This window comes from Homo sapiens, chromosome 8 (assembly GCF_000001405.40).
Source record: "Homo sapiens chromosome 8, GRCh38.p14 Primary Assembly".
In the NCBI taxonomy this organism is placed as follows: Eukaryota; Metazoa; Chordata; class Mammalia; order Primates; family Hominidae; genus Homo; species Homo sapiens.
The window spans coordinates 70677033-70700398 of NC_000008.11; the positions used below are offsets into that span (position 1 = coordinate 70677033).

The 23366-nt window shown below is 38.0% G+C and overlaps 1 protein-coding gene across 10 annotated transcripts in view; it reads left to right on the forward strand.

The window, feature by feature from the left end:
• Nucleotides 1-23366, forward strand: part of XKR9 (XK related 9) — a 396467-nt gene that overhangs the window by 7694 nt on the left and 365407 nt on the right. For 7 of the 10 annotated variants that reach the window (XM_011517527.4, XM_011517525.3, XM_011517524.4 and 4 more), the window contains exon 3: nucleotides 3749-4298. In XM_011517527.4, coding sequence (XP_011515829.1) covers nucleotides 4027-4298 — 272 coding nt within the window. In that variant the 5' untranslated portion in view covers nucleotides 3749-4026. Of the gene's footprint in view, nucleotides 1-997; nucleotides 1108-1335; nucleotides 1810-3748; nucleotides 4299-6480; nucleotides 6599-23366 lie in introns of those variants that run through there. The other 3 variants (NM_001287259.2, NM_001287258.2, XM_017013404.3) reach the window with 3 other exon arrangements.

Consider the following 23366-nt stretch of genomic DNA (forward strand, 5'->3'; position numbering starts at 1 on the left):
ACTATTGTGTTTTAGTCAAGTTTTATTCTTTTGAACATGTTCTCAGACTATAAAGTTTTCCTGAGAAAAAGCAGTGGAAAATAAGTTAAAGATTAAAAAAAAATAAAAAAAATCTTTTTTTGTTTTGTTTTGTGACAGGGTCTCACTTTGTTGCCCAGTCTGGAGTGCAGCGATGCCATATCAGTTCACTGCAACCCCCACTTCCTGGGCTTAAATGATCCTCCCACCTCAGCCTCCCAAGTAGCTGACACTACAGGAGCACACTACCATGCCTGGCTAATTTTTGTATTTTTTTTGTAGAGGTGGGGTTTCACCATGTTGCCCAGGCTGGTCTTGAACTCCTGGACTCAAGTGATCTGCCTGGCTCAGCCTCCCAAAGTGCTGAGATTACAGGCGTGAGCTACTGCACCTGGCCAAGATTTTTGTTTAGAAAGGTTTAGATCACATCATTTGCAATTCTAACTATATTCCCCTCTCCCTTTAATTTCACTACAGAAAAGAATAATATACAATAATAATGTGTATTCTATCTCAAATCTATAGACTGCTGTGCCTAAGTGTTATACTCACACAGCTATAAATGTTTTCTGTTTTCTCTTCAGATACTGTGTAAGTATATTGTGGGTAGGACCTAAGCATTGGAGGCAAACAGATTTTACTCATTAGAGAAAACTCACCTAAATATCCAACACCTCTATGCCTCAGTTTTCTGGTCTACAAAATGGAGTCAATAATACTGTTTTCACAGGGATTTGTGAGGATTAAATGAAATAATTTATGCCAAAAAACTTCACTTTTAGTAAACACCTAGCAGTAGTAGCTACTATTACTACCATCTATTCTTCTCCTATATAAGCAATTTTTTTCTTAGTAAAGCTTAAGAAATTATATTTTTAAGAATGATATTAGAACAGGATTTGTATACACATTAAACATATCCAGTAGAACCATGCTAAGGAATTTCTGACAATATTTTTTGAAACTTTTGTTTTTGAAGGATTCAAAATCTAGTGCATTAGACTTTTGAACTAGCTGTTCCTTCAAGCTGGAAGGCTTTTCCATCTCTATGCACATGGCCAATTTCACTACTCAAATGCCACCTTCTCAGTGAGTCCTGCCCTGACCAATCTAATTAATGTCACAGCCCATGATATGCCCATCTCTACTGTAATTGCTGATCTTCCTTACTATGCTTTATTTTTTCCATAGCACTTACCACCTTCTAATATATTTGATTTATTAATTATTTTTTATTGTTAATTGACTATATTTTGAATTTTATGTTTAAGAATGATACATAATAGATGTACATATTTTTGAGGTGCATGTGATAATTTAATACATTCATATAATTTATAAAGATCAAATCATTGTAGTTGAGATACCCCTTGATTATCTTTCTGTGCTAGGATATAAGTTCCACAGGGGCAGGAATATTTGTCTCTCATCACTTGATATATCCAGGAAAGCCTAAAACAGCACATGGTAGTTTCTAAGTAAATATTTAATTAGTTCAATTGAGCAGAACCTCCCGATTAATCTCATCCTCCTAAACCCCATGTGTATGTTGGCTTGAGGTCTTTCATGTTAGCATAAGAAACCTGCTGCAGGGAAATTCATGGCCCACTAGATTTTTAAAACTCAGTTTTTAAACTGTTTTTTTCTGTCCTGTTGGCCACAACATTCTTGACAGGAGAAGCAGTGATCATAACTGTTGCTTTATTCCGTGAGAAGAATGAAATACCTTTTAATATTATTCTGAAGACTTTTTAGCAAAATACTTATAAGTGATAAAATGATAAGAACACAGTAAGTATTGGTTTGTGTGTGTGTTTTTAGTAAACATTCACCTTGGTGTGTTTAAAGTAATAAATTTTTTTATAGAAACATAGTGTGTTAACTGGTCTGGCTGCCATAGCAGAATACCACAGACTTATTAGCTTAAACAATAGAAATTTATTTTTTGACAGTTCTGGACACTGGAAGTCCAAGATCATTGTGCCAGCAGGGTTGGTTTCTGGTGAGGTTCTCTCTCCTTGGGTTACAGATGGCTGCCTTCTTGTGTCCTCACATGGCCTTTTCTCTGGTGTTGCTTCCTCTTCTTGTAAGAACTCCAGTCCTATTGCATCAGGGCTCCAGAGCTCATTTATCCCTCCTTACCTTTAAGATCATACCACAGTACTTTTTCACTTAACATTATATGAAGTCAAGTCAGACATTGCAAACTCATATGCTTACAGAGGCCAGGCAAGCAGTTAGCAAGGTAATAATGATAACTAACATTTACTGGGCCCTAACTGTGTGCCAAGTACTTTTCTAGGGGTTTATATGTATTACATGTATTATCTTTCTTGACCTTCACAACAACCCTATAAGGTATATACCATTATTCTCTCCACATTTTAGATGAAGAAAATAAAGTATAAGGCTGAAAAGAATACATCTAGGGACACACAGCTAGTAGGTAGCTGCATTAACATTGAGACCCAGCTGTTGAAATGCCTGAAATGGGCCAGATGACTACTGCGATGAACAGGAGAGAGCATGCCCCATCTAAAGGGGCAGCCACTGCTCATGAAGGACTAATCTAGCATAGAAGATGTTTCTGTTTTTTGTTAGCAGTCAAACATTTGTGTTTTTTGTGAAATGTTGGCAATTAATTAGGAAAACAAACCAAAAAACCACCACTGAGTCAGACAAATCTTGTATGCAGATTGTGTTCATTCAGACTATGTTTATAAAATAGTAATAATAATAGTAGAATCTACATTTTAAGTGATAGAAGAATTAAATTGGGGCGTTTTATATACAACATTTTGCTCAGTGCTTGGCACATAGTGGTAAGTAAATGTTAGCTTTCATTAGTAGCATAAACATTTTCTCCAGTCATTGAGATTCTGCATGAGTATCATTTACTATTTTTATTTTAAAAAATTATATACCTAACAACATCAGTACAGGTCTGTTGTAAAAAAAAAACCTCAAAAAAATGTAGCAGTATAGAGAGAAAACAACTGAAGTTGCATTTGCTTCCTACTCTCAACCGCCTTCCTCTCTCCATGTATAATTAAAAACCATAAATAGTATACAGTATTTATCTTTCTGGGATTTGCTTTTTTCACTTAAAACATCTTGAAGATCTTCTGAAGTGAGTTCATACAAAGCTGCTTTAATCTTTTTAAAGGCTGCATGGTGTATCCTTTAGTGTGGATGTACCATAATCTATTGAACTAGGCCTCTCAATTGTCATTTAGGTAGTTTTCAATATTTCGCTCTTATAAAAAAGGCTCTGCAAAGATTATCTTTTTGTACATTTTTGAATATTTCCCTAGGATAGAATCCTAGATGGAATTGCTGGGCCAAAAGCATATTAAGAATTTTTACAACTATTGCACCTTTGTTACATATATTTTAGTAGTTTTGTAATATTCCATTTTATGGATCTACCTTTATTTACTTTACCATTTCCTTATGTTGAAATATTTAGGTTGTTTCCAGTTTGCCACTATAAATAGTCGTGTGATAAATTTCTTTGTGGGTAGGTCATATTTTTAAAAGATAAATAGCCTGAGAGGAAGTTATCAACTATCAAGTATATTTCTGAGACTTTCCCAAAGCTATTATAAGAACTGTATTTAGTGGCAATATATTATTTTTAGGAAAAGTAGAGCTTTGATAAAATCATTGCCAAGCGTTTTTAATATTATACTTAAGATATTTTGGAACTTAAATATCTGTTTTATTTTAGGTCTTGTCATCTGTAATGAAGATCATTGTGAAACAGAAGATTGATTAAAGCCTTGTAACATTGGACCTAGATTAGAGATTTAGAAAAGAAAGTCAAAATTAGTCACTTTAGTGTTAGTGTTCCCATTTCATAATATTTATTCTTTCTTCTAAATAGATTTAGGGAGTAGAAATTAAAATTCAATGCTATACCAAAGGGTATACTAATATTTGTTTGGCTTTTTTTCCCTTTTTGTGAGGGAGAAAAAAGTAGATAACGAAAAGCTATAGTCATTCGTAATGAAATATACTAAACAGAATTTTATGATGTCAGTTCTTGGCATTATAATCTACGTAACTGATTTAATTGTGGACATATGGGTATCTGTCAGATTTTTCCATGAAGGACAGTATGTTTTTAGTGCTTTAGCGTTAAGCTTTATGCTTTTTGGAACACTTGTGGCTCAGTGTTTTAGTTATTCTTGGTTCAAGGCTGATTTAAAGAAAGCAGGCCAAGAAAGTCAGCATTGTTTTCTTCTACTTCATTGCTTGCAAGGAGGAGTTTTTACAAGGTGAGCATACATGTTTAATCATTACCACTGTTTTTCTTTTTCCAAACAGAAGCTACCATTTTGTATCTTATCTGGGTAGTCAAATGTACAAAGATCCCTTATTTGCATGAAGCACAAAGGTTACTTGCTCCTCACTATTGTGCTAATATAAGTCATTGCCATACTGTCAGAATTTTCCAGGTTCATTAATAAAAATGTTTAAATTTATCTAATTAGGTTTTTTCTGATATGAACTCAGTTTTCATGAGAAGGAAAAAGACATTTCTATGTCTTACAGAACTTTTATCTTCTGTGTATATTCTAAGTCTGATTGTGTAAATATGGCATTTCACTTGTAACTGAGAGAGTACTCACTTTTTTGATACTTATCATTGATTTAACTAAATGAAATTTTTGCTGCAATAATGCAGTAGCTATGTGGTTAGCTAGGTACAGAGTCATAGAACTAAAGCAACCTTAAGAATCATGTTGTTATAGGTAGAGAAACGAGACTCTAAATAGGCCCTCAGAATTCCATGATTCTCTGTATATTTAATTTTTTATGACCTCTCCATTATTACTTTAAGTGATTCTACTTTTGATTCTGTCCTGTTAAAAAGCAATTCATGATCCTTAGTTGAATGTATTAAAAAAATTCCAGGCTTTTCTTATATTAATTAATGGGAATAACGCCATTGTATTTATGTGGAGACTTATAGTTTTCAAAGTATTTTCACATATTTTGCCTTTTTGAAGCTATAGTTATTATGTTTTTAATATGTAAAAGAAACAGAATGTGCAGTGAGAAAGAAGTTTATAGGTTTTAGGAAAAGCTGGAAAAAAAGTGCTTTAGTTGTTGGTATTAGAAGTCAATTTTCAAACTGCACATTCTCAATAAGACAAAAATGTTTAAAGAAATACAGTAAAAGTGCTGATGAACAAATACATATGTAATAGGTAAGATTAAATGAGTACTCTGTATGAGCAATATTGAGAATTATGTAGTTGTAATATTGAAGAAAGATAAAAGTTGCTTTTGCAAGGAATTTAGAAATATGGTAAATTCTCTGTTACTTGCCATTCTAATAATGGAAAATTTGCACATCTACAGAACTATTTTCATCAGCATTGAAATGAGGACCTTAAGGTACATTGTGTTATAAATTATAAATTGTATTATAAAAGAAAGGCCAAATTGCCTTGATTTTCAGTGTCTCTTGATACACCTAGTAATTTTTGATTGAATATTACACATTGTATACAAAAGATGATAGAAGTTTCAAATGCTACTGTTTTGCTTTTTCTCTAGTAGGCATTTAGACTAAGGTTCAATCTGCTTTGGTTTGTAGTTTCTAGGGAACTTGAGAGTATGGTGTGGTCATCTCACCTCCACAAGTCCTGAACACTAATTTTTATCTTGGCACCACAAGACTACCAGAAAGCCTGTTTTGCTTTTTCAAGACTTTCTGCTTAGCTTTTAGCCTCTATGGTGTAGTTTCAAAATTTGGCACATACGTTGTTGGAAAAATTGATTGAGTTGAGGTCCCTCAGTCAACAGACCTCTAAAACCTAGCTTAAACATCTTGAAGATCTTCTGAAGTGAGTTCATACAAAGCTGCTTTGCTCTTTTTAAAGGCTGCATGGTGTATCCTTTAGTATGGATGTACTATAATCTATTGAACTAGGCCTCTCTTCTTGCCTAACAACAGCCCTTTGCTTGGGCAGAATCCAGGTTTTCAACCTCTTGTTCTGAGTAATAGAATCAGCAAATATTTCCAAGCAACAAACATTTGTAAATATATCAGCCCAGTTTGTAGTTTCTCTTAATTGCTTTGCCGGGAGCATTGGTCTATTCCAATATGCTGGATCCTACCTAGAAGTATAGTGTGTAACGTGCGGTCTTAAATTGTTCCAAGTATAAAGTAAAACAAAACCTTTGCTGTTAACATTGATAATTTAAAGACCTCAAAACAATATAATTCGATTTGCTATGCTCCCAACTAATATATTTATATTGTTGTCATTTTAATGCCTGTTTTTAATCCCACTAGATATTATTATGTATTTTTCTACTTTATGTAGTTAAATTCTACTGAATTTTGTTTATGTTTACCCATATATTTATACTCTCTTTATTTTTTATTTCTTCTTGAATCTCAGGACTTCTACCTAGAATTACTTTTCTTTTTTTTTTTTGAGACAGGGCCTTGCTCTGTCACCCAGGCTGGCCTGCAGTGGCGCCTTCCCAGCTCATTGCAGCCTCCACCTCCTTGGTTCAAGAGATTCTCCTGCATCAGCTTCCTGAGTAGCTGGGATTACAGGCATGTGCCATGACACTTGGTTAATTTTTGTATTTTTAGTAGAAATGGGGTTTAGTCATGTTGGCCAGGCTGGTCTCGAACTCCTGACCTCAAGTGATCCACCCACCTTGGCCTCCCAAAGTGTTGGGATTATAGGTGTGAGCCACCATGTTCGGCCCTAGAATTACTTTACTTCTGCCTTCCTGAGGTCTGCCTTTTAGAATTTCATCTATTGACGGGCTGTTGGTGACATCACCTCTCAATTTTTGGTTGTTTGAAAATGTCTTTATTTCATTATCTTTCTTGAGAGATATTTTAGTGGCTATAGAATTCTAGATGAGTAGTTATGTTCTCTCTGCATATTATATTTGATTGTTTTTTGGTTTCTATTGTTGCTCTGGAGGAGTTAGATTTTAGTCTCATTGCCGCTCTTTTGAAAGTGTTTTGTCTTTTCCTCCTCTGGCTGCTCTTAAGATTTTTCTCTTTATCTGTGGGTTTCTACAGTTTAATTATATGTTTAGATGTAGATTTTATTTCTCTTGCTTAGGATTTGTTGGTCCTCTTGATTCTGTGGATTATTATCTTCTATTAATTCTATATAATTGTCAGCCATTAACTTTTTTAACATTTTCTTTACTATATTTAGTGTTTCTTTCCCTTCTGGGATGCCAATCAAATGTAAGTTACACGTTCTCACTGTGTTTAACATAACTATTAAATGTTAGATTTTAAAAATTCTTATTTTTGAACTCTTTGTGATACATTCTGTGGAATGTTATAATCCAGATTCCTCCCTCTCATTCCTTGTATCATTGCTATCATTCATTTCACTTGTACTAAGTATACATAAGCATATAAATATATACACATAAGCATACATAATCAAATATATTGTCCTATTATTTTGAACTGTTATCTGGATCAATTAAAATTAAGATCAATTAAATATAATTATATTTAATTGGTCTGTCTTAATTTTAATTGATCTGACAAAGGGCTAATATCCAGAATCTACAATGAACTCAAACAAATTTACAAGAAAAAAACAAACAACCCCATCAAAAAGTGGGCGAAGGACATGAACAGACACGTCTCAAAAGAAGACATTTATGCAGCCAAAAAACACATGAAAAAATGCTCACCATCACTGGCCATCAGAGAAATGCAAATCAAAACCACAATGAGATACCATCTCACACCAGTTAGAATGGCAATCATTAAAAAGTCAGGAAACAACAGGTGCTGGAGAGGATGTGGAGAAATAGGAACACTTTTACACTGTTGCTGGGACTGTAAACTAGTTCAACCATTGTGGAAGTCAGTGTGGCGATTCCTCAGGGATCTAGAACTAGAAATACCATTTGACCCAGCCATCCCATTACTGGGTATATACCCAAAGGACTATAAATCATGCTGCTATAAAGACACGTGCACACGTATGTTGATTGCAGCACTATTCACAATAGCAAAGACTTGGAACCAACCCAAATGTCCAACAACAATAGACTGGATTAAGAAAATGTGGCACATATACACCATGGAATACTACGCAGCCATAAAAAATGAAGAGTTCATGTCCTTTGTAGGGACATGGGTGAAATTGGAAATCATCATTCTCAGTAAACTATCACAAGAACAAAAAACCAAACACCGCATATTCTCACTCGTAGGTGGGAATTGAACAATGAGAACACATGGACACAGGAAGGGGAACATCACACCCTGGGGACTGTTGTGGGGTGGGGGGAGGGGGGAGGGATAGCATTAGGAGATATACCTAATGCTAAATGACGAGTTAATGCATGCAGCACACCAGCATGGCACATGTATACATATGTAACTAACCTGCACATTGCACACATGTACCGTAAAACTTAAAGTATAATAATAATAATAATAATAAAGAAAATGTGGCACACATACACCATGGAATACTATGCAGCCATAAAAAATGATGAGTTCATGTCCTTTGCAGGAACATGGATGAAATTGGAAATCATCATTCTCAGTAAACTATTGCAAGGGCAAAAAACCAAACACCGCATGTTCTCACTCATAGGTGGGAATTGAACAATGAGAACACATGGACACAGGAAGGGGAACATCACACTCTGGGGACTGTTGTGGGGTGGGGGGAGGGGGGAGGGATAGCATTAGGAGATATACCTAATGCTAAATGATGAGTTAATGGGTGCAGCACACCAGCATGGCACATGTATACATATGTAACTAACCTGCATATTGTGCACATGTACTCTAAAACTTAAAGTATAATAATAAAATAAAAAAAATTATATTTAAATAATTTAAATAAAATTAAATCAATTAAAAATAAGAAAAATAAGTTTTTGTTTATCTTCAATTATTCCTTTTTCAGTGCTCTTCCTTTCTTTATATATTTTAATTGATCCAAGTTTCTGACCTGTAACATTTTCCTTTTCTTTGAAGAATCTATTTTAACGTTTCTTGCAAGGCAAGTCTACTGGCAACAAGTTTCCCCAGTGTTTGTGGAAATCTTTATTCTCCTTCACTTTTGAAGCATAATTTCACAGGGTACAGAATTCACAGTGGTGTTTTCTTTCTTTCCTCTCCTTTTTTTACTCTCAACACTTTAAATATTTCACTCCATTCTTTTTTTTTTTTTTTTGAGACAGAATCTCACTGTGTTGCTCAGGCTGGAGTGCTGCAGTGGTGCGGTCACAGGTAACTGCAACCTCTAACTCCCTGGGCTCAGGTGATCCTCCCACTTCAGCCCCACAAGTAGCTGGGACTACAGGTGTGTGCCACCACACCGAGATAGCTAATATATATATATATATATATTTGGTAGAGACAGAGTTCTTTTTTCTTTTTAGATGGATTCTTGCTCTGTTGCCCAGGCTGGAGTGCAGTGGCCCGATATTGGCTCACTGCAACCTCCGCCTCCCAGGTTCAAGCAATTCTCCTTCCTTAGCCTCCTGAGTAGCTGGGACTACAGGCATGTGCCACCATGCCTGGCTAATTTTTGTATTTTTCATAGAGACAGGGTTTTACCATGTTGCCCAGGCTGGTTTTGAACTTTTAGGCTCAAGTGATCCGTCTCCTTCGGCCTCTCAAATCCATTCTCTTCTTGCTTGAATGGTTTCTGAGGAGAAAGTGAATGTAATTTTTACCTTTACTCCTTTAGGTGTTTTTTCCTCTTTGGCCTCTTTTAAAATTTTTTTTCAGTTTTAATTATTATGGGTACATAATAGGTGTATATATTTATGGAGTACATGTAATGTTTTGATAGACATATATAATGTATGATAATCACATAAGGGTAATTGGGATATTTATCACCTCAAGTATTTATTTTTTCTTTGTGTTAGGAACATTCCAATTTCACTCTTAGTTATTTAAAAATACACAGTAAATTATCGTTGACTTTAATCACCCTGTTATGTTATCAAATGCTAGAGCCTATTCATTCTAACTACATTTGTGCACCCATTAACCATCCCACTTCTGCCTTACTCCCTGCTACGCTTCCCAGGCTCTGGTAACTATTATTCTACTCTCTATCTCCATGAGTTTGTTTCAATTTTTAGCTCCAATGTATGAGTGAGAACATGTGAAATTTGTCTTTCTGTGCCTGGCCTGGCTTTTTTCACTTAACATAATGTTCTTCAGTTTCATCCACGTAGTTGCAAATGAAAATGACAGGATTTCTTTCTCTCCTCCCTCTTTCTTTCTTTCTTTCTTTCTTTCTTTCTTTCTTTCTTTCTTTCTCTCTTTCCTTTCTTTCTCTTTCTTTCTCTTTCTCTTTCTCTCTCTCTCTCTCCTTTCTAAATAGAGACAGGCTCATCATAGCTCATTATAACCTCGAACTCCTGGGCTCAGGTGATCTTCCCATCTCAGCCACCTGAGTTGCTAGCATTACAGGCATGTGCCATCAGGTCTGGCTAATTTTTTATTTTTTTGTACAGATGGGGCCTCAGTATGTTGCCCAGGCTGGTCTCGAACTCCTGGCCTCAAGTGATCCTCCTGCCTTGGCCTCCCAAAGTGCTGGGATTACAAGCATGAGCCACTGTGCCCAGTCCAGTTCAAAATATTTTTTAGCTTCCTTGTGATTTTGTCTTTTACTAAAGGATTAGACTGTTAAGTGTTTTTTCAAATATTTGGGTCTTTTGTAGTTATTTTAATGTTGATTTTTAATTTAATTCTTTTGTGTTCAGATAACATACTCTTATGATTTCAATCTTTTGAAATTTATTCAGACTTGTTTTATTGTCTAACATATGGTCCATCTTTATGAATGTTTCATGTACACTTGAAACATATGTGTTTCTGCAGTTGTTCTGGTATTCTATAAATGAAATTTAGTGTAGTTGATAGTGCCATTCAGATATTGTACAGTTTTACTGATTTTATGCTTAGTTGTTTTAAGTGTTGGGGAAACTGGGTAGCCATTTAGAAGGAAACAAAATATATAAATTTTAATTGGCAATAATAGTTTTCACACAAAGGTCAGTCTTAGGCTATGCCCTACCATGGCACATGATCTAGAAAAGAGGTCTCTTCTGTGGAGATGAAATCTTCATTCTGTGGAAGTGGTGGTCAAATCTTCAGAAGTATATTAGTAGAAACAGAGGTAGACCCTGGGAGAAAGGTGAAATGTGTGTGTCTTTGGCGTGTCACAGTTTTTGATGTGACAAAATATGGGTTCTAATTCTTCCAAGCCAGGAGAAAGTTTGAAAGGATATTCCGCAAGAGTTCTCCCCGTCACCCATACAAACCACAAGGGCGATAAACGAGTTTTTCTCTGTATGGCATATGAATACACAGGCCACATTTTTTTTTTTTTGGGATGGAGTCTTGCTCTGTTACCCAGGCTGGAGTGCAGTGGTGCGATCTCAGGTCACTGCAAGCTCCGCCTCCCAGGTTCATGCCATTCTTCTGCCTCAGCCTTCTGAGTAGCTGGGACTACGGGTGCCCGCCACCACGCCTGGCTAATTTTTTGTATTTTTAGTAGAGACGGGGTTTCACCATGTTAGCCAGGATGGTCTTGATCTCCTGACCTCGTGAGCCGCCCGCCTCGGCCTCCCAAAGTGCTGGGATTACAGACGTTAGCCACTGTGCCTGTCCTTTTTTTTTTTTTTGAAATTGATTGGAAAAAAAAGGAAGCAATAGCCAGTATATGCAGCATGAAAACAGTAAAAACTTTGTTAACTTATAAAGTTGGGATACTTTAAGATAGCATGTTATACTTCTAGGTAGATACCAGATAGCAGGATAAATTTCTAATGAATCAAATATTTAATGTAAAATACTATAAAAGAAGACATCGGAGAATTCCTTTATAACTTTGAAATGGGGAAAGCCTTTGTAACCATGACTCCAAATCCAGAAGCTATAACAATTGTAGATTTGACTATAAAAATGCGTGCTAATAAACAAAAGCAAAAATCCCAACACACAGAACAAAAGCATAACAAAGAAAAACAACATTAACAGGGAAAAAGAATTGTAAACTTATAACAGAAAAAGGGCTAGTCCTCTGATATTTAAGCAGCTTCTGGAAATCAAAAAGTAAAAGACCATCTACCCAGTAGAATAATGGGAAGAGAATAAGGATAGTTCATAGAAAAGGAAATACAAATAGGCCTTAAGTTGTATAAAAGATGCTAAGCCTCATTCATGAAAAATTCCAATTAAAACTACATTGAGATATTATTTCTCATTTACTAGATTAACAAAAATCTGAATGACTATATACTCTCTTGGTAAAGTGTGAGAAAACATACTTTCATACCTTGTTCATCAGAGTATGGATTGGTATAATTTCTGTGGAAAGTAGCTTGACCATATTGCAAATATATATATATATATGTATTTTATGTATATATATGTATTTTTTATATATATGTATTATATATATATGTATATTAGCCCCGGAGCTTCCTCTTCTAGAAATTTATCATACTTGCATACATGTAAAGTGACATATGCACACAATTTTTAAGTGTAGCATTGTTTGTAATAGAAAAATATTGAAAACAATTTTAGTGTCTTTTGATAGAGTTTGTAATATACTGTGCAATGGCATAGTACATAACTATCATAAAGAATGATAAAGTACTTTCTATGCTGAAATGAAAAGATATCCAGGACTTATTTTGGGTGAAGAGACAAGGTACAGACAGAAGGTATAGTATGCCACAATCTGTGTAATAAAAGATGGTGAAAACTAATATATATTTATGTTTGCTTGTATCTGCATGAAGAAACTCTATATGGGTACACATGAAACTAATAACTGAATTCCTGTGGCCATGGGGGAGGGTAAAAGCTGGATAGTGGGTTATAGGAGTAGGGTAGAGTTTTCTTACTTATAACTTTCTAATTTTTTGAATTATTTAAATATTTTGCCTATTTAAAAAAGAAGAAAAAGAAAATTGAATTAGGTTGGGCATTAGTGGAAGATGCCAGATAGATAAACAAACACTTTACTCTTTTTTTGTTTTTCTTTCTTTTTAAAAATTTTTGTTTTAGGTTTAGGGGTACATGTGAAGGTTTGTTACATAGATAAACACGTGTCATGGGGGTTTGTTATTACATATTATTACATCACTCAGGTATTAAGTTCAGTACCAAATAGTTATCTTTTCTGTTCCTCTCCCTCCTTCCACCCTCCCCCTCAAGTAGATGCGTGTCAGTGTCTGTTGTTTCCTTCTTTGTGTTCATAAGTTCTTACAATTTAGCTCCCACTTGTTTTTTGGAGATAGAGTCTCACTCTGTTGCCAGGCTGGAGTGCAATGGCATGATCTTGGATCACTGCAACCTCCGCCTCCCAGGTTCGAGCAATTCTTTCTCCTGCCTCAGTCTCCCGAGTAGCTGGGACTACAGGCACATGCTGCTATGCCCAGCTAGTTTTTTTTTTTTTTTGTATTTAGTAGAGATGGGGGTGGGGGTCTCACCATGTTGCCCAGGCTGGTTTCGAACCCCTGAGCTCAGGCAATCAGCCCACCTCGGCCTCCCAAAGTGTTGGGATTACAGGCGTGAGCCACCGTGCCTGGCCAGCTCCCACTTGTAAATGAGAACATGCGGTATTTGGTTTTCTATTCCTACGTTAGTTTGCTAAGGATGATAGCCTCCAGCTCCTTCTGTGTTCTGGCAAAAGACATGATCTGGTTTTTTTATGGCTGCATAATATTCCATGGTGTATATATAACACATTTTCTTTACCCAGTCTGTCATTGATTGGTATTTAGGTGATTCTGTGTCTTTGCTATTGTGAACAGTGCTGCAATGAACACTTGTGTGCATGTGTCTTTATGGTAGAATGCTCTGGGTATATACCCAGTAATGGAATTGCTGGGTCGAATGGTAGTTCTTTTAACTCTTTGAGGAATTGTCATACAGTTCCTCAATGGTTGAACTAATTTACACTGACACCAACAGTGTAAAAGGGTTCCCTTTTCTCCACAACCTCGCCAGCATCTGTTATTTTTTGACTTTTTAGTAATAGCCATTCTGACTGGCGTGAGATGGTATTTCATTGTGGTTTTCATTTGCATTTCTCTAATGATCAGTGGTATTGAGCTTTTGCCATAAGCTTGTTTGCCACATGTATGTCTTCTTTTGAGAGGGGTCTGTTCATGTCCTTTGCCCACTTTTTAATGGGGTTGCTTGTTTTTCTCTTGTAAAGTTGTTTAAGTTCCTTATAGATACTGGGTATTAGACCTTTGTCACATGCATAGTTGGCAAATTCTTTCTCCCATTTTGTAGGTTGTTTGTTTACTCTGTTGATAGTTTCTTTCGCTGTACAGAAGCTTTTAAGTTTAGTTAGATCTCATTTGTCAATTTTTGCTTTTGTTGCAACTGCTTTTGGTGTCTTCATCATGAAATCTTTGCCTGTTCCTAGATCCAGGATGGTATTGCCTAGGTTGTCTTTCAGAGTATTTTACAGCTTTGGGTTTTACATTTAAGTCTTTAATCTGTATTCAGTTGATTTTTGTATATGGTGTAAGGAAGAGGTCCAACTTCAATCTTCTGTATATGGCTAGTCATTTATCCTAGCTCTATTTATTGAATAGGGATTTTTTTTCCCCATTGCTTGTTTTTGTCAGCTTTGTCAACGATCAGATAGTCAAAGATATGTGGCCTTATTTTGGGCTCATTATTCTGTTCCATTGGTCTGTGTGTCTGTTTTTGTACTGGTACCATATTGTTTTGGTCATTATAGCCCTGTAGTATAGTTTGGAGTCGAATAACATGATGCCTCCAGCTTTGTTCTTTTTGCTTAGGATTGCCTTGACTATTTGGGCTCTTTTTTTGGTTCCATATAAATTTTAAATAATTTTTTCTAGTTTTGTGAGGAATGTCATTGGTAGTTTAACAGGTATAGCGTTGAATATGTAAATTGTTTTGGGCAGTATAGCCATTTTAATGATATTGATTCTTATTTATGATGATGGGATTTTTTTCATTTGCTTGTGTCTTCTTTGATTTCTTTGAGCAGTGTTTTGTCATTCTCACTGTAGAGATTTTTTACATCCCTGGTTAGCTGTATTCCTAGGTGTTTTATTTTTTATTTTTTTGGTGGCAACTGTGAATGGTATTGCCTTTCTTATTTGGCTCTCAGTTTGGTTGTTGTTGGTGCACAGGAATGCTAGTGAGTTTTGTACATTGATTTTATATCCTGCACCTTTGCTGAAGTTGTTTATCAGCTGAAGGAGCTTTTGGGCCAAGACACTGGGGTTTTCTAGATATAGAATCATGTCATCTGCAAACAGAGATAGTTTGACTCCTGCTCTTAGTATTTGGATGCCCTTTGTTTTTTTTTCTCTTGACTCATGGCTCTGGCTAGGACTTCCAATACTATGTTGAATAGAAGTGGAGAGAGAGGGCATCCTTGTCTTGTACGAGTTTTCAAGGGGAATGCTTCCAGCTTTTGCCCATTCGGTATGATGTTGGCTGTGCATTTGTCATAGATGGCTCTTATTATTATTATTCTTATTTTTTTGAGACAGAGTTTTGCTCTTGTTGCCCAGGCTGGAGTGCAATGGTGCGATCTTGGCTCACTGCAACCTCCACCTCCCAGGTTCAAGCGATTCTCCTGCTTCAGCCTCCCGAGTAGCTTGGATTACAGGTGCCCACCGCCACATCCAGCTAATTTTTTGTATTTTCAGTAGAGACGGGGTTTCACCATGTTGGCCAGGGTGGTCTCAAACTCCCGACCTCAGGTGATCTGCCCGCCATAGCCTCCCAAAGTGCTCGGATTACAAGTGTGAGCCACCACGCCTGGCCATGGCTCTTATTATTTTGAGGTATGTTCCTTCAATACCTAGGTTATTGAGAGTTTTTAACATGAAAGAATGTTCAGTTTTATCAAAAGCCTTTTCCACATCTGTTGAGAAGATTGTGTGGTTTTTGTCTTTAGTTCTGTTGATGTGATGAATCACATTTATTGGTTTTCATATGTTGAATCAACCTTGCATCCCGGGGCGAAACCTACTTGATCACGGTAGATTAGCTTTTTGATGACACTTGGCATTTGAGTTACTAGAGTTCTTGTATTGGCTATTTCTCATCTCTGCATGTGGGTATTTCTTTAACTGCAGTGCAGATTGAGTGTAGTCAATAGACTTCTTTTCTGGATGTTTTCACTTGGCTGAGGCTTTGTGTAGGGTCTTTATTTGAAGCTGACTTCTTGTCTCTGGTTTCAGTGGGGGTATATTAGTGAGATATTTTTGCTGTTGAAGCTTTGGGGGTATGATCCAGCAGATGACATTTAGGCTTATCAGTCAGTTGGTAGACTCTTTCTTGGTTGTGTGGCTTCCCTATGTTTCCTCACAGTTGCAGCTGTGTTCCCTGTCAGTGCTCTGAAAGTATAGGTTCCTCTCTCCCTTGAGTACTGGCTGTAGTTCACAACTTGTCACTCCTGGGATGCCCACTGCAGCTCTGGGACAGTCTTAGTGTTTATTTCCCTTCTCCAGGTTAGAGGCAGCAGAGGAAAAGATCATAGTAGTGGTTGTGGCCAAGGGTCATTTGCTTGACTCCGAGGGGCTCCACCCCAGAGAGTTGCAGGTCAGCAACTGCTCAGTGCAGTCAGCCCAAGACGGAAGGTTTGTGCTGTGGGTCCAAGCCAGGGGTTTTCTGTCTGGTGACAAGCTATGTAGGGTATGGGGGACTTGTGGGAAATTGGTTGGCCTCTTCTCCTTAGGTTGACTGCAGCTCATTGGAGGTGTGGATAAGGCACTTGGGATCTTTGCTCCTTTGTTAGTCCGAAGGTGGCAAGGCATGTTCCACTGCAGAGGCAGTGGCAAAGAGGCTTTCAGTTGCCCCCAGAGGCTCTGTCTATGGAGTTACTGAGTTGGTACTGGCTTGGTAGCTCTGGCAGGGGGTGGTTGGAGGCCCAGGGCTGGAGGACCTGCCCAGTGAGGAGATATGGGAATGGGTACCCATGTAACAGTCTGGGCACTTTTCTGTAGGGCTGCTGTGGTATGCTTGGGGCCCGGTCCAGTCCTAGACACCTCAAATTTTCCAAAACCTAGAGGTGTTACCAGTGAAGGCTGTGAAACAGCAAAGCTGTTGCCAGCTTAAAGGCACCTGTAGGGAGTGGCTGGAGACCGTGGTTGCGAGGTCCCACCCAGTGAGCAGGAACAGGATTGGCACCCACTTAAAACAGTCTGGCCACATTTTAGTAGAGCAGCTGTGTTGTGTCCACTTCAGCCCCTGGTTGCCTCAGACACTCTGAAGCCCAAAGACTGGAATGGCTAAGTTGCCCAAACAACAAAGATGGTGGCCTGCCCCTCCCTCTAGGAGTGCCATCCCAGGGGGAATTCAGATCTGTGTCAGCTGGAAAGCTTTGTTGGGGGTGGCTGGAGGCCCTGGTTGGGAGGTCCTGCCCAGCGAAAAAGAATGGGATCAGGTACCTGCTTAAAGCAGCAGTCTGGCCATGTTTTGATAGAGCGGCTGTGCTATGCTGTGGGAATCCCTTCTGCCTTGGGTGGACTCAGACTCTCCAAAGCCTGAAGGCTAGAATGGCTAAGGTGCCTGAATAGCAAAGATGGCAGCCCGCCCCTCCTCCCAGGAGTGCCTTCTTAGGGAGGTGCAATGCCGCTATTGGTAGCTGGCTAGAATTCCAAGTAAGTGGGTCTTAACTTGTGAGGTGCTGTGGAAATGGGGCCTGTGGGCTGTTGCTGTTCAGCCCCATAGATTCAGCCTCTTTTCTAGGGGTATGTACAGGAGTCTAACATCCTACTTTGCCATAGCTGCAGCTACTTTTGCTGGAAAGCCCTAGTATCTAAGCCTCCAGGGACTCCATGCATGCCTGAGTGGCTGCTCTGCTGAGACTCTACATAGCTCTGTCTGTCAGACTGAAGACCGAAGGCCCTGCTGGAGTGGGTTCACAAGATCTGACCTGAGGGTTGCAAAGAGCTGTGGGAGAAGCATGATTTCCCTGGGTTGCTCTTGGACTTACCACTTCACTAGGTTGGGGAGAATCCCCTGGCTCTGTGTTGTTCCCAGGTGGCCGTTGTCCTGCCTTGTTTTTCTTTTTTTTTTTTTTTTTCTCATTGATTTGTTTTTAAAAAAATTTTTTTTTATTTTATTATTATTATACTTTAAGTTTTAGGGTACATGTGTGCAATGTGCAGGTTAGTTACATATGTATACATGTGCCACACTGGTGTGCTGCACCCATTAACTCGTCATTTAGCATTAGGTATATCTCCTAATGCTATCCCTCCCCCCTCCCGCCACCCCACAACAGTCCCCAGAGTGTGATGTTCCCCTTCCTGTGTCCATGTGTTCTCACTGTTCAATTCCCACCTATGAGTGAGAACATGCAGTGTTTGGTTTTTTGTCCTTGTGATAGTTTACTGAGAATGACGGTTTCTAGCTTCATCCACATCCCTACAAAGGACATGAACTCATCATTTTTTATGACTGCATAGTATTCCATGGTGTATATGTGCCACATTTTCTTAATCCAGTCTATCATTGTTGGACATCTGGGTTGGTTCCAAGTCTTTGCTATTGTGAATAGTGCTGCAATAAACATACGTGTGCATGTGTCTTTATAGCAGCATGATTTATAATCCTTTGGGTATATACTCAGTAATGGGATGGCTGGGTCAAATGGTATTTCTAGTTCTAGATCCCTGAGGAATTGCCACACTGACTTCCACAATGGTTGAACTAGTTTACAGTCCCAGCAACAGTGTAAAAGTGTTCCTATTTCTCCACATCCTCTCCAGCACCTGTTGTTTCCTGACCTTTTAATGATTGCCATTCTAACTGGTGTGAGATGGTATCTCATTGTGGTTTTGATTTGCATTTCTCTGATGGCCAGTGATGGTGAGCATTTTTTCATGTGTTTTTTGGTTGCATAAATAAATGTCTTCTTTTAAGAAGTGTCTGTTCATGTCCTTCGCCCACTTTTTGATGGGGTTGTTTTTTTTTTTCTTGTAAATTTGTTTGAGTTCATTGTAGATTCTGGATATTAGCCCTTTGTCAGATGAGTAGGTTGCAAAAATTTTCTCCCATTTTGTAGGTTGCCTGTTCACTCTGATGGTAGTTTCTTTTGCTGTGCAGAAGCTCTTTAGTTTAATTAGATCTCATTTGTCAATTCTGGCTTTCGTTGCCATTGCTTTTGGTGTTTTAGACATGAAGTCCTTGCCCATGCCTATGTCCTGAATGGTAATGCCTAGGTTTTCTTCTAGGGATTTTATGGTTTTAGGCCTAACATGTAAGTCTTTAATCCATCTTGAATTAATTTTTGTATAAGGTGTAAGGAAGGGATCCAATTTCAGCTTTCTACATATGGCTAGCCAGTTTTCCCAGCACCATTTATTAAATAGGGAATCCTTTCCCCATTGCTTGTTTTTGTCAGGTTTGTCAAAGATCAGATAGTTGTAGATATGCGGCGTTATTTCTGAGGGCTCTGTTCTGTTCCATTGATCTATATCTCTGTTTTGGTACCAGTACCATGCTGTTTTGGTTACTGTAGCCTTGTAGTATAGTTTGAAGTCAGGTAGCGTGATGCCTCCAGCTTTGTTCTTTTGGCTTAGGATTGACTCGGCGATGCGGGCTCTTTCTTGTTTCCATATGAACTTTAAAGTAGTTTTTTCCAATTCTGTGAAGAAAGTCATTGGTAGCTTGATGGGGATGACATTGAATCTATAAATTACCTTGGGCAGTATGGCCATTTTCACGATATTGATTCTTCCTATCCATGAGCATGGAATGTTCTTCCGTTTGTTTGTATCCTCTTTTATTTCATTGAGCAGTGGTTTGTAGTTCTCCTTGAAGAGGTCCTTCACATCCCTTGTAAGTTGGATTCCTAAGTATTTTATTCTCTTTGAAGCAATTGTGAATGGGAGTTCACTCATGATTTGGCTCTCTGTTTGTCTGTTATTGGTGTATAAGAATGCCTGTGATTTTTGTACATTGATTTTGTATCCTGAGACTTTGCCGAAGTTGCTTATCAGCTTAAGGAGATTTTGGGCTGAGACAATGGGGTTTTCTAGATATACAATCATGTCATCTGCAAACAGGGACAATTTGACTTCCTCTTTTCCTAGTTGAATACCCTTCATTTCCTTCTCCTGCCTAATTGCCCTGGCCAGAACTTCCAACACTATGTTGAATAGGAGTAGTGAGAGAGGGCATCCCTGTCTTGTGCCAGTTTTCAAAGGGAATGCTTCCAGTTTTTGCCCATTCAGTATGATATTGGCTGTGGGTTTGTCATAGATAGCTCTTATTATTTTGAGATATGTCCCATCAATACCTAATTTATTGAGAGTTTTTAGCATGAAGCGTTGTTGAATTTTGTCAAAGGCCTTTTCTGCATCTATTGAGATAATCATGTGGTTTTTGTCTTTGGTTCTGTTTATATGCTGGATTACATTTCTTGATTTGCATATATTGAACCAGCCTTGCATCCCAGGGATGAAGCCCACTTGATCATGGTGGATAAGCTTTTTGATGTGCTGCTGGATTCGGTTTGCCAGTATTTTATTGAGGATTTTTGCATCAATGTTCATCAAGGATATTGGTCTAAAATTCTCTTTTTTGGTTGTGTCTCTGCCCGGCTTTGGTATCCGGATGATGCTGGCCTCATAAAATGAGTTAGGGAGGATTCCCTCTTTTTCTATTGAGTGGAATAGTTTCAGAAGGAATGGTACCAGTTCCTCCTTGTACCTCTGGTAGAATTCGGCTGTGAATCCATCTGGTCCTGGACTCTTTCTGGTTGGTAAGCTATTGATTATTGCCACAATTTCAGCTCCTGTTATTGGTCTATTCAGAGATTCAACTTCTTCCTGGTTTAGTCTTGGGAGGGTGTATGTGTCGAGGAATTTATCCATTTCTTCTAGATTTTCTAGTTTATTTGTGTAGAGGTGTTTGTAGTATTCTCTGATGGTAGTTTGTATTTCTGTGGGATCGGTGGTGATATCCCCTTTATCATTTTTTATTTCGTCTATTTGATTCTTCTCTCTTTTCTTCTTTATTAGTCTTGCTAGCGGTCTATCAATTTTGTTGATCCTTTCAAAAAACCAGCTCCTGGATTCATTAATTTTTTGAAGGTTTTTTTGTGTCTCTATTTCCTTCAGTTCTGCTCTGATTTTAGTTATTTCTTGCCTTCTGCTAGCTTTTGAATGTGTTTGCTCTTGCTTTTCTAGTTCTTTTAATTGTGATGTTAGGGTGTCAATTTTTGATCTTTCCTGCTTTCTCTTGTGGGCATTTAGTGCTATAAATTTCCCTCTACACACTGCTTTGAATGTGTCCCAGAGATTCTGGTATGTTTTGTCTTTGTTCTCATTGGTTTCAAGGAACATCTTTATTTCTGCCTTCATTTCATTATGTACCCAGTAGTCATTCAGGAGCAGGTTGTTCAGTTTCCATGTAGTTGAGTGGTTTTGAGTGAGTTTCTTAATCCTGAGTTCTAGTTTGATTGCACTGTGGTCTGAGAGACAGTTTGTTGTAATTTCTGTTCTTTTACATTTGCTGAGGAGAGCTTTACTTCCAAGTATGTGGTCAATTTTGGAATAGGTGTGGTGTGGTGCTGAAAAAAATGTATATTCTGTTGATTTGGGGTGGAGAGTTCTGTAGATGTCTATTAGGTCCGCTTGGTGCAGAGCTGAGTTCAATTCCTGGGTATCCTCGTTAACTTTCTGTCTTGTTGATCTGTCTAATGTTGACAGTGGGGTGTTAAAGTCTCCCATTATTATTGTGTGGGAATCTAAGTCTCTTTGTAGGTCACTCGGGACTTGCTTTATGAATCTGGGTGCTCCTGTATTGGGTGCATATATATTTAGGATAGTGAGCTCTTCTTGTTGAATTGATCCCTTTACCATTAAGTAATGGCCTTCTTTGTCTCTTTTGATCTTTGTTGGTTTAAAGTCTCTTTTATCAGAGACTAGGATTGCAACCCCTGCCTTTTTTGTTTTCCATTTGCTTGGTAGATCTTCCTCCATCCTTTTATTTTGAGCCTATGTGTGTCTCTGCACGTGAGATGGGTTTCCTGAATACAACACACTGATGGGTCTTGACTCTTTATCCAATTTGCCAGTCTGTCTTTTAACTGGAGCATTTAGTCCATTTACGTTTAAAGTTAATATTGTTGTGTGTGAATTTGATCCTGTCATTATGATGTTAGCTGTTTATTTTGCTCATTAGTTGATGCAGTTTCTTCCTAGCCTCGATGGTCTTTACAATTTGGCATGATTTTGCAGTGGCTGGTACCGGTTGTTCCTTTCCATGTTTAGTGCTTCCTTTAGGAGCTCTTTTAGGGCAGGCCTGGTGGTGACAAAATCTCTCAGCATTTGCTTGTCTGTAAAGTATTTTATTTCTCCTTCACTTATGAAGCTTAGTTTGTCTGGATATGAATTTCTGGGTTGAAAATTCTTTTCTTTCAGAATGTTGAATATTGGCCCCCACTCTCTTCTGGCTTGTAGCGTTTCTGCTGAGAGATCTGCTGTTAGTCTGATGGGCTTCCCTTTGTGGGTAACCCAACCTTTCTCTCTGGCTGCTCTTAACATTTTTACCTTCATTTCAACTTTGGTGAATCTGACAATTACGTGTCTTGGAGTTGCTCTTCTCGAGGAGTATCTTTGTGGTGTTCTCTGTATTTCCTGTATGTGAATGTTGGCCTGCCTTGCTAGATTGGGGAAGTTCTCCTGGATAATATCCTGCAGAGTGTTTTCCAACTTGGTTCCATTCTCCCTGTCACTTTCAGGAACACCAATCAGATGTAGATTTGGTCTTTTCACATAGTCCCATATTTCTTGGAGGCTTTGTTCGTTTCTTTTTATTCTTTTTTCTCTAAACTTCCCTTCTCACTTCATTTCATTCATTTCATCTTCCATCACTGATACCCTTTCTTCCAGTTGATCGCATCAGCTCCTGAGTCTTCTGCATTCTTCACGTAGTTCTCGAGCCTTGGCTTTCAGCTCCATCAGCTCCTTTAAGCACTCTCTGTATTGGTTATTCTAGTTATACATTTGTCTAAATTTTTTTCAAAGTTTTTAACTTCTTTGCCTTTGGTTTGAATTTCCTCCTGTAGGTCAGAGTAGTTTGATCGTCTGAAGCCTTCTTCTCTCAACTCGTCAAAGTCATTCTCTGTCCAGCTTTGTTCCATTGCTGGTGAGGAACTGCGTTCCTTTGGAGGAGGACAGGTGCTCTGCTTTTTAGAGTTTCCAGTTTTTCTGCTCTGTTTTTTCCCCCTCTTTGTGGTTTTATCTACTTTTGGTCTTTGATGATGGTGATGTACAGATGGGTTTTTGGTGTGGATGTCCTTTCTGTTTGTTAGTTTTCCTTCTGA